At 36.7% G+C, this 12,098-nt stretch overlaps 1 long non-coding RNA gene across 1 annotated transcript in view, besides 1 other annotated feature; it reads left to right on the top strand.

Moving 5' to 3' along the window:
• LINC02122 (long intergenic non-protein coding RNA 2122) overlaps window positions 1-12,098 on the top strand; it is a 68,866-nt gene that overhangs the window by 34,755 nt on the left and 22,013 nt on the right. The window lies entirely within an intron of this gene.
• Window positions 4,143-4,343: a silencer, noted in NCBI's record as "peak5281 fragment used in MPRA reporter construct". NCBI's record gives its function as "represses an SCP1 promoter by STARR-seq MPRAs in K562 erythroleukemia cells {active_cell/tissue: K562}" and the evidence as "EXISTENCE:reporter gene assay evidence [ECO:0000049][PMID:32103011]".

Raw genomic sequence — 12,098 nt, 5'->3', positions numbered from 1 at the left:
CATAATGACTGGTTCTTCCCACTGGAATGTGAGCAGAGTGATTGGTGTCACTTCCAAGCCTAGCAGTTTAAATGCAAATATATTTTTTCACTTTGAGAAGATATGGCATCTGCAAACACAAATAGGAAGTAAGGTGTAAGGAAGTAAGGGATAAGAGCAATCAAGAACAGAAGGTCTTGGAAATCAGAAACATGAAGGCTGAATGTGAAATTCAACAGAAGCATTCTACCATAAAGTCAGGAGACTCTCCCAGAAAGTAGAATTAAAAGGCAAATAAGTAGAGGACAGAGAAAAGACAAGAAAGTTAGAGCATCAAATAAGTCCAATGCTTAACTAAGTAAACTTCCAGGAAAAACAGGAAAACGGGGGGAAATTTTTAAAGAAGTAATGAAAAAAATGAGTCACCAGATTTAAGAGGCTCATAAAATTTCCAGCACAATGAAGGCAAACACACCCAGGCCAAAAATATTGTTATGAAACTTGAGAACACTGGGAACGAAAAGAAAAAAGCACCCATGGAGAAGGGGAACAGATCAGAACAGATCAGGAATGATATTTACACCAAATTTCACAACATCAATATCGGGAGGTAGACTATATTGAGGAAGGATTTCAAAATTCTGAGAAGAAATTATTTTCTACATATTCTATAACCATGAGAATGGAATAAACATTTTTAGACACACATTGCTTCCAAATACTTACCTTCCATGCACCCTTTCTTAGGAACTGCTAGAGGTTGTTCTTTACCAATGTGAAGGACTAATCGAGAAAAAAGAAAATGGGATCTCTAAGGGACCTAACACGAGGCCCTGGCAAAGGGAAGTGCCAGGTGGACAGCTGCCCCTCAGGCTGAGAGGGCCCTGGGCACAGAGCAGGCAGGTGAAGGACAGGGTGACAGGGAAGGGGTCTCCCAGGGAAAAATGAACTGGTATCTAATATTTGGGCTGTTTGGAAGATAATTAAGATCTGTTTTTTGTTGTTGTTGTTGTTTAAGAGATGAGATCTTGCTCTATCATCCAAGGTGAAGTGCAGTGGCACAATCATTACACACTGCAGCCTTGAACTCCTGGGCTCCAGCACTCCTCTAGCCCCAGTGCTCCAAGCAGCTAAGACTACAGGCCTTAGTCTGGTGGTGTAGCTAGACTACACCACCATGCCTGGCTAATTTTTAACAATTTTATGTAAAGATGTGGTCTCACTATGTTGCCTAGGCTAGTCTCCAACTCCTGACCTTAAGAGATCCTCCCACCTGGGCCTCCCAAAATGCTGGCATTACAGGCATAAGCTACCAGGCTCGGCCTAGAATTTCATTTTTTAAGTATATCAACAGGCACATAGAAAATTTAGCAAAATAATGTCAATGCAATAATTAGAAAAACATTCCACAAATAAGGAAATGTAAACCTTTCTTATTTGGTTTACTAACAAACAATATTTACACAGTAATAATGTAAACATTATCTTTTACTTAAATGAATAATTGTGACATAATTATTCAGAGAATTAAGGGGATGTCATGGGAAAAAAGATTAAAGAGAGCTAAATCTTTGTTTAGCATAATAGGAAGACAAGAATTAAGCCTCAGATTAACAAACCAAGAGAAGGCACTCTTGGTTTAGAAATATGAATGTTTCTGATAGTAGAGACTCAGGAGAGTTGTAAATGTCTGCCTCTGGGGGTGGCATAAACTGGGAGGGAGGAAGGATGGAGCATGAAGTTGCTGAGGTTTGCTATGAGACTTTGAATACAATTGAATTTTTAAAATACGTGTATTTATCAAATTTTAATTTTAAAAGTATTCATGAAATTTAACAGCTACATAATATCTTATCATAGGGTGAACAAATTTATATCCATACTTCTTTATTGACAGATATTTAGGTTGTAACTACAATGTACTTGTTACACATAGAAACTTTACTACAGTTTGGGTTGTTTCCTTAGAGTTGCTACAAATTGAATAATGAGAAAAAGAAGAGAGCATGGTACGATGTTTTATTTATGTATTTCCTTTTATTTCTTCTTACTTATATGTAAAATTATCTTATAAAATTGGGCTGCTAATCTTCACTTAGAGTGGGGCAGGGAAATGCCCACCTTACTGTGCTCTTTTAATATTCTTATTTATAAAAGTGAATTTAATAAATTAAAAAATGGTAACACTTGTTTTAAGTTCCATTTATTTTATTACTACTGAGCTTTCCAATCGTTTTTCCTCCTTTGCGAGTTTTCTGTTCCATTTCCTTTACCTATTGGTTTTTGGAATGTTGGTGTTTTGACTATCAAATTGTGTGACCCCTCTAAATTTGTTTAAAGCTCCAAATATTTCTTTCAGTTTATTGTATTCAAATTAGTTCTCTTTATGCTGTTTTTGACATGAAGATATTTTAACCTTTTTTGCAAGAAAATCTGTAATATTTTCTTATTTTTCTATCACTTTTAAATATGGCAATCCAGATGTTTGAAAAGTATAATATATTTCTTTGTATTTGATATGAGCTGAGTCTCTAAATTTGGCCACCCTCCCCACAATAGCCATTCAGTTATTCCAGGACCACTTCCTCCCCAATTGATTGAAGATGGCACCTTTGTCAAATATTAAATTCTGGAGTATACTGGGGCCTGTTTTTGAACTATCTCTTGTCAGTCATTGATCTATAGCTCTAATTTTGAATCAATGCCATACTGCTTTAACAGTTATAGCTCTATGATATATATTTAACCTATTTTAAGATAAATACCCCACTATTTTTTTGGGGGGGGTGGTTGCAGGAGGAGAGACATTGGGTTTAGAGGACTGGGATCATCTTCCTCCATAGTTCACCACACGCTATTGTTGTTTTGTTTAAGGAGAATCTCATTTTACTATTTTGTTCTGTAGTACCTCCATCTTCCCACACTTAAATCTCCTACTTCCCCCATAAGCAACAATTTTAACGTACTTGATATCTATACTTTTCTTTATATGTGCTCTTGTAAAACACATATTCATGCACTGTTGTTTTATATACATGTTTTAATTTTCAATATGGGAATTTTTTTAAATATACAAAGAAAACAGAATAGCTTAATGAATAATGAATATCCCCGTACTTATCTCTCTTTTCTGTATTCTTTCACTTAGCCTAATAATGGCTGAGATTTAGTCACATTGCATATTTCAGTGGTTTATTCTTTTATTGATGAAAAGCATTTCATTTATGGCTACTACAATTTGTTTAGCCATTCTCCAGTTATTGAACATTTGGGTTGCTTCCAGTTTTTTGCTATTGTGAGTAAAGCTATGTTCATTCTTGCACAAACTTTTGTAGACCTGTTTTCATTTCTCTTGGATAAAAACCTAGGAATAGAATTACTGGGCCAAGGGTAGGTAGATGTATGTTTAAAGAAATCTTCAAACCTTTTTAAACGTGATCGTATCATTTTATATACCCACTGGATAGTGGTGTATCTAGAGTATTTAACACTTGAAGTAGATAATTTTTAGCATTCTTTTCTTCTATATAACAAAATTATTTTCAGTAGCATTCATGTAGTAATCAGTGATGATCATTATTTTACTGATTCATTCTTAAGTTTAAATGACCAGTTAATTGAACAAAGTTCAATTTTTAAAATGTCACTCAAATATATTCATGCAGGAATAAAATTTTTTACATATCTAAACAGAAACATAAAACCTTGCAGTTTGCACTCTACTTCTGTTTTAAATTTTAAGCAAATGAAAATTGCAAGTGGTCACATAGAATGACAGAATTAAAGTAACTAAAGTTCTGTTATTTTGACTTTACACTCACAGTGCTTTCATTGTTTATTTCAATCTACTGTTTAAATGCAGGCATATGTAGTGGGCTGCAGACTAAAATTGTGCTCTGAAGGCAGCTGAAAAGATTCCAAACCATAAGAGGCTCATTCTCTAAACACATGTAGCTGAATCTGAATGTGTAGGGACTGGCTGTATAACTGGGAGTAACTGGACTTCTGTGCAATATACAGTGATTATCAAAGGACAGATAATAAAATGTGCTAATCTGATGCTTACATATACATTATTAAAATTCCAGAGTAACCTCAAAAACTGTTTAGCTCTTAGACCAACAAAAAGATATTTTTCAGGGAGAAGGATTTTATCACTAATGTTGTTTAGAATTGCCAGCATATGTTGATAATAAAAAGCAGACTGACTTATAATCAGGTTTATTATTGTTTTTAAATTCTCTGAAGGCAATGCACCCACCTCCTAACAACCTTTGCTCTGGATGACCACTTCCTCCCCCTCACCCTTGATTCATCGCTGCCACCAGCATTGTATAAATGTGTGGGGCGTTCCACAGCCTTGTTGACATTTGGCATTGTCAGTCTTTTAAAACTGTAGACATTCCAGTGGGTGTATGGTATGTCATTGTGGTTTTAACTTGCATTTCCCTACGATTAATGACATTAAACACTTTCCTATGTACTTCCTGGTCATACATATTGTATCCTTTGCATCTATGAGTGTGCCTATCTTAGATAACTCATGTGAGTGGAACCAGGCAGCATTTTTCCTTCTGTTCATTTCACTTAGCATAATGACTGGTTCATTTCACTTAGCGCAATGTCCCCCAGATTCATTCACGTCATCACAAATTCAGGATTACTTTCTTTTTTAAGACTGAATAGTATTCCCGTTATATGTATACACCATGTTTTCTTTATCCATTCATCTGTCTGTGGACACTTGGGTTGTTTCTGTATCTTGGCTATTGTGAATAGTGCCACCATGATCATGGGAGAACAGATTGAGATCCTGATTTCACTTCTTTTGGATACGTACCCGGAAGTGGGATTGCTGGATTACATGATACCACTATTTGAGTTTTTCATGCCAAGCATTCTTGCATTCCTTGTATTAACAACACTTGATTACAATGTTACTTTTTATGCATGGCTGGATTTCTATCTTATTTGGAATTTTTTTGCGTCTATATTCACAAGTTAAATAGGTCTATGTTTCTTTTTCCATGTTGTTCTTATCTGCTGTTGGAACCAAGATTATATTAGGCTTATAAAACAAGCTGGAGTAGGGAAAATGTAAGAAAAGCCTTTAGCATCTTGTAATGCCAGAAAATAAAAGTTCTGGAGAAAGGATAGGGGCATTGTTGCAGAGGGCACAGGAGCCAAACTGAAAGAGACCGCAGTGGCCAAAACTGAAACAACTTGAGCAACAAAATATTTAACAGCAGTATTGGATTATAACCCATGGAATAAAATAAATGTCCATGAGGCCATGCTGATATTAAGTAATTAATTCATGGAAGAAAAAAGATGGCTTTTAAAAAAACTAGAATTCTAATAAATATTAGAAGAAATGAGGGAAATAGAATATCACCATTAGAATACCACAGTAATCATTACTGCAGGCAAGATCAACCGATGAATGCTAAAACTAGTGGGCAAAACTTTAAGGAGAAACAGTATTTGCATAACCTCAAAGTATCTTCCCCCAATACTTTACTAATTACAAAGGGAAAGATAGCAGCTTTACAGTGGAGACATCTGGGAGACATCTCCAAATGATTAAGGTTAACATCAGTAACAAGACATATAATGTCCCCCTTAATCTTTAGGTTAGTTAGTAGCATTGTATGGATGTTTTAGTTTTTATAATTGTACTACGATTATGCAAGATTTTTAACATTTGAGAAAGCTAGCTAAAGAGTATAAGCAGTTCTGTTTTTGTAAACTTTCTGTGTCTAAAATTATTTCAATATAAAAATTCAATTAAAGATTGCAGAATAAAAAATCTATGATTAATATATACCTTTGTTTAGATTAGAAAACTTTTGTTCTTTTTGTATTTTTTGTACTTTGCAAATACTTGCTGGAACAACTTATGTAAGTCATCAATTAACTGAGTTTTAAAAAATACAATAGCAATCAACTGTGTAGCTCTCTGGACTGGGGATTCTGAAAGAAAAGTGCTTTACTGTCATTTCTTAATACTTTAATATTTCATTCTTTCATACTTATTGGTTCATGCAAGTTTTCTATTATACTGATTTTGGCATATTTTCAAAAATTTATGCATTTCACTAAGTTCAAATTTAGTCATTTTGTTTTTTTAAAAAACTTGTGCTTTCTGTAGAAATTTCTCCCTTTTCATTCTGTACTTGGTTTACTTGCATATTTTTTCTTGATTTATTCACTCTAGAAACCTATCTATATTGCAAATATTTTTAAAGAAATAACTTTGGACTTAGTTAACCTCTGTGTCATTTGCAGGTGTGGGTACAGATACATGCACTATTTTACACATTATATATTTATCTTTTTTTTCTTGTTTCTTTGAATGTTCTATTGCTTTTTCTGTACCTTGTGAGTTAAATCCTTAGCTAAGTGTTGCTTTTAACCATTTTTATTTTCCAATAAATGTATTTTAAGCTGTGTATACAATGACCTGCTTTATCTGTGTTCCTTTAAACTCTTGGAAGTAACATTGTTAGAAGGCAAATTTTTTAATATAGAAATTCACCAAATTTTGAGATATGAAAAAAGGAGAGAAGCATGAACGTCCTTCATCAACTGCTCCTCCCAGCAGGGCTGTGGCTGCCCTGATATAACCAGGACATCAGTGCCCTGAGCTGTGGAGGTTGTTTCTAGGGCATTAGGGTAGGGAAGGTTTATACAGAGGCCACATGGGAAAGCAGAATTTTGTTTCTCCAACCTGTCCTCTCTCAATTTCCACTGGTTGCTCTGTGTCCAGCCTGCAACCATCTCACCTACCCCAGACCTACACACACACACACACACACACACACAGAGACGCACACACATACACAGAGAGGCACACATACACAGACAGGCACACACATACACAGAGGCACATGCACACAGACACATACAGACTCACCAAAGACACACAGGCACACATTCAGACATTCAGACACATTGTATGACACACAGTCACATAGACAGACACACAAAGACACACATTCAGAGACACAAAGAAGCACATAGACAGAGACACATACAGACATACACACAGACACACAGCCACACACATATAGAGATATGCAGACACACAGACACATACAGAAACACACACATATAGAGACAGACACACACAAGGACACACGCACATTCAGAGACACACGCAGAGACACAGACACACATACAAAGACACACACACACACACACACACACACACACACAGGTTTCACTCCCGACAGGGGTCTTGCTTTCACTTAGTTCCATGCTTTCTTCTTACTTCCAATAGTTTTTCTAGGGTTGCTACTGGGCAGGGTGGCAGGAGGCCATGAGAATCCACCATCTTAACAGGAGCCAGAAATGGTCCTCATTTTCCACATTTTTTAGCTATTTTTATACCTGCAGATCAGTTTAAAATAACTTTGTCAGTTTCTTCCAAAAATCTTCACTAGGGTGTTAGTCATACTTGTCATATGACTACACGTTAACTTGTGAATAACTGACATAATTTTGACAGGCAATATTGCCATTCAGCCATCAAGTACCTGGGATATTCAATTATTTTCTCTCTCAAGAAAGTATTATTTCATTTAGGTTTCACACATTTCTTGTTGAGGGTTTCTAGTCATTTTGTGTCTTTTACTGCTATTGAGTGTGGGATACACTTCCATTTTATTTTATAACTAATAATTGCTGATCTATAGAAAGGTCTATTGACATTTGCAGGCACATTGACTATTCGGTGGTTCCACATCATCTACAAATTCTAATGATAATGGGAAATGGGTTTTAAAATATCCTCTCAAAAACAAGTGAAAATTATAATTTACTTTATTTTCACAGTAATGAGAGGGAAAACTATTTGTATCTGGGGCTTTGTAATTTTCTTGGGGAGTATGTGGTCATTATATTTTTCTCATAAATGTAATACATGGTGGAAACTAGAGGGAAAATTTAAAAGGTTGAGAGAGGGGTGTCACAGTACTAAGTGATATCCTCTGTGTTTTCGTGTGAACACACACACACATACACACACCTCTGCTTATTAGGAGATGGCTTATGGCTGGAAAGTTCTCACAACTAAGTTTCAGACATAACTAGACATGTCCAGCAGTCTGGTAGACAGTCAAAATATGTAATATTGTGTTTGTTTACTGAGATAGTTTGAAGGACCAGTCTTGAAGAGTTTTCTTGGATCTTAAGGGAGATCTCTTAGGGACAAAGGAACCAGATGCGATTAACTCATCTGGTAACAAAACCTTAGTGGGACCTGGGTGATCCTGAGTCCAGAATCATGTCAATCACACAAATCTGTCCCCAGCTCAAGCCCCTGGGTGCACCTTTAGGTCCTATGAAGAGAAAAAGCTACAGATTTCCAACAACTCTGTAGGATATGGGCACCAGAAACATGACTCAGAGGCTCTAGCAGGGGACAATCCCAGAGAAGTGCAGTGTTCTCCCTCCCTGCCACCTATGACCACATAGGACTCCAAGTAGGGCTCCCCAAGCTACAGTGATGCCTGCAGGCCATCAGCCTCCTCCAAGAGTGTGAGCACATGTTGGACACTCCTTGGGGATTCCAAGTGGCATTTAGGTAATATTGGGGAAACCTGGGTATCCTAGGTGATTAGTAGGGAAAAGAGCCAGTGCAATCTGAGTTTTTAACGTTTGTGTGAGGCCTGAGAAGTCTTGGATAACTTGTGTGTGTGTGCGTGTGTGTGTATATACATATGATCCTGGAATTTGGATCATATTTTACATTTTGATGCATTAACCCATTTTTAAAAATATTCTACAAATACATAAAAAAGATTGAAGGAGACCTGGCGCAGTGGCTCATGCCTGTAATCCCAGCACTTTGGGAGGCCAAGGCGGGCAGATTGCCTGAGGTCAGGAGTTTGAGACCAGCCTGACCAACATGGTGAAACTGTCTCTACTAAAAATACAAACAGTAGCCAGGTGTGGTGGTGCACGCCTGTAGTCCCAGCTACTCAGGAGGCTGAGGCAGGAGAATTGCTTGAACCCAGGAGATGGAGGTTGCAGTGAGCCAAGATCGTGCCACTGCACTCCAGCATGGGCAACAGAGCAAGACTCCATCTCAAAAAAATAAAAATACTGAAGGAACACTTTCTTATTTCAAAATACTTAGAACCACTTTATTGGTTGTCCGATTTTGAAAGTTACCTCAATAGATAATGAAACGTACTCCAGAATATTATTGACAAAATTCTAACTATATCAGGCTCTTAAAAGTGAAATTTGCAAGGCAAGGTTCTTCAACTTCTGGATATCCTGTGAATTTTTTAAATTATTTTTAAATGTGAATAATCCCAATATTTGTTATCTTACCAGAAAGGAGGATTCTTGAACCTGAGGCGGGCTCATTTTACACCGCCTTTACATTCCTCAGCCCTGGCAGGATGACAGCCACCTTGGTTTTAAAATGGTAAAATATAAATACTGTGACTGGACTTCAAAGAATTGCTTCTCTCTAATACACACTCACACAAACACAAATATGTATAATATACACAATCTATATACAATTATAGATAATATACTTACACAAGTTTATGTGCATACATTATACAGAGAGAGGGATAGAGAGTGGGGATTGTGAAACAGGAGTAAGACTCTAATCCACCATCTAACCCCCAAGCCAGACCTTTGTTTTAGCACATATTTGTGTACAGTTCCTCCTCATTACTCAGATTCTGTATTTGCAAATTCACTTACTAGCTAAAATATATTTGTAACACCTAAATCAATACAGCACATTTGCAGTCATTTGCAGACATGCACAAAGTGATGAAAAATTTGAGTCACTCACTGGTTTCCAGTGAGGCTCCCATTCCCAGTTGCGTTCAAAAAAGGGGATGCTCTGGCTTCTTGTTTCAGCTCCTATGAAGAGTGGATGAGGATAGAGATCGGGAGCAGTGCAGTGCTGTGTAAGAGGGCTTCAATTCTGGGGCAGATGCATGGTGCGCACCTGTTAGTGGGGGCCTCAGATAACTCACTTACTTCTGAACCTCATCTTCTTTTTTGTAAAATAAGGAAAATAGAACCTACCAGGAAGAGCTGTTTTTAAGATTTAAGATTATAATCTATGTGAGATATATGCGAGCACGTATAGTCATCCCTCGTTCCCCGTATCCATGGAGGATTGCTTCCAGGACTTCCCCACAGATGACTAAGTCCCTGGTATAAAAGTGGTGTGGTTACATATAACCTATGCATGTGCTTTTATATACTTTAAATCATCTCTAGGTTACTTATAATACCTAATACAACACAAGTGCTATGTAAATAGTTGTATTTTAAAATATGTACTTTTATGTTGTATTTTTTACTTTTTAAAAATATTTTCAGTCCTCAGTTGGTTGAATCTGTAGATTGTACAACCTGGGGATGTGGAACTCATGGATACAGAGGGCCAACTCTGTGCGTTTATAAATATAGACAGAGATATAGTTGTAGATTTCAGTATTTTGCTAATTCAGTGTTTGCAGCAACTTCATAGAATATAACCACTACAAATAATGAGAATCTACTGTATCTTTAAGTAAGATATTATTTAAGTTGTTTGATTTAGGCTTAGGAAAATGGCATCATACTGTATGAAATCTTGTAAAAAAATTTTTCCCACAGTATTATTTGTGAGATTCTACATAATGTGCATAGTCCTAACTCATTCATTTTTCATGCTGTATAGTACTCCAGTGTCACAATGTATTCACAGACTTGCTTATTAATGGCCTTTGAACTGTTCAGATAGTATTTTTGGTCTTAGTGTGTTAAATGACCATTCTTGTAGATGTGCCAGGAGTTACCTAAGGGATATGTCCGGCAATAGAGTTATGGGTTAGTTAATAATGCCAAATCATTTCCCGGTGTTGTAGAACCAATGCATACACATGCTCCAGAGCAGATAAGAAATTCCTTTGTCTGTATCCTCATCAGCACTAGATATTATCAAACTTCCCAATTGTTTCCCAATCTCTTAGATGCAAAATAGGATCTCATTTGGGTTTTAATTTGCATTTCCTGCCTACTAATCAGTTATATATACATTTTTCAAGTATATGTTAATCACTTGCATTTCCTTTACCCTAAGGTGTCTATTTCTGTCATTTACCCAGATTTTTTCCTGGGCTATATTTCTCTCATTGATTTCCTACCTTTATCCTTTATTCTCGATACTAAACTCTTGTTGGTTTATGTATTGGAAATCTCTTTTCTAAGTTTGGAGTTTATCTCTCTGCTTTCTTTATGATAACATTAGATAAACAGAAGTTTCTAACTTTAGTCTTATTCTTTATTTCAATGGTCCCAGCACTTTATTAGGTTTCCCATTCTGCCCATTCTGTGTAATTACAACACAGAAATGCCAACACAGGCCAAGACTCATACCTCCAAGGTACTCCCCAGGAACTTACTGGAAGGCAGCCCTCTGGTGGAGAGGCCATCACAGTCTCTACTGCTCAGAGAGAAGAAAAACTTACTTGACCTAACTTACCAGAATGACTGAAAAATATACTTCAGAAAAATTTTTTCAATCAGATTAGCAAACCCAGTTGTGTAGCTACCTTTAATTACCCCCAAACCATCCTGTTCCTTAGCTGATTTAGCTTCCTGGAATGGCTTTCTCATTCAGCATTGCCCCTGCCACTCTTTATGTTGCCTTTCTGCCCACTCCATCAAATCCATTTTCTCGGGGCTTTACTGACAAGGAATAAACTGATGACTGTAGCTCTTTTCACTTTTTAAAGTTTCCCTTAGCCTGTCAACATTAAGTTTCCCAGTTCTGAGGGAAAAAGCAACATTCTTCACACTTATGTAATCCTAATTTCCAGTAATTCTTCACGTGGGTGTGTTTTTTAAAAAAGATTATTTTAAGTGCCGACTTAAGATTTTCCTAGAATTTATAAGCAAGCTGCGCTATAATATAAAAAAGGAGCTGGGAAGTTTAGCAGGCCAGAGGGAGAGTTTCCTTAAAAAACAAACAAACCAAAAGCCCCTCACATGTGATTACCTCTTCCCTTTTGCAGTGTGACTTGCTGAGGCAAGTGTGAACCCAGCTTAAGACCGTTCCTACCACATGACACCTCAAGAGCTTCTATCTACCA

Source organism: Homo sapiens, chromosome 5, assembly GCF_000001405.40.
Source record: "Homo sapiens chromosome 5, GRCh38.p14 Primary Assembly".
NCBI lineage: Eukaryota > Metazoa > Chordata > Mammalia > Primates > Hominidae > Homo > Homo sapiens.
Note: the sequence above shows the minus strand (reverse complement) of the source record. Positions and strands in the feature narration are given on the sequence as shown.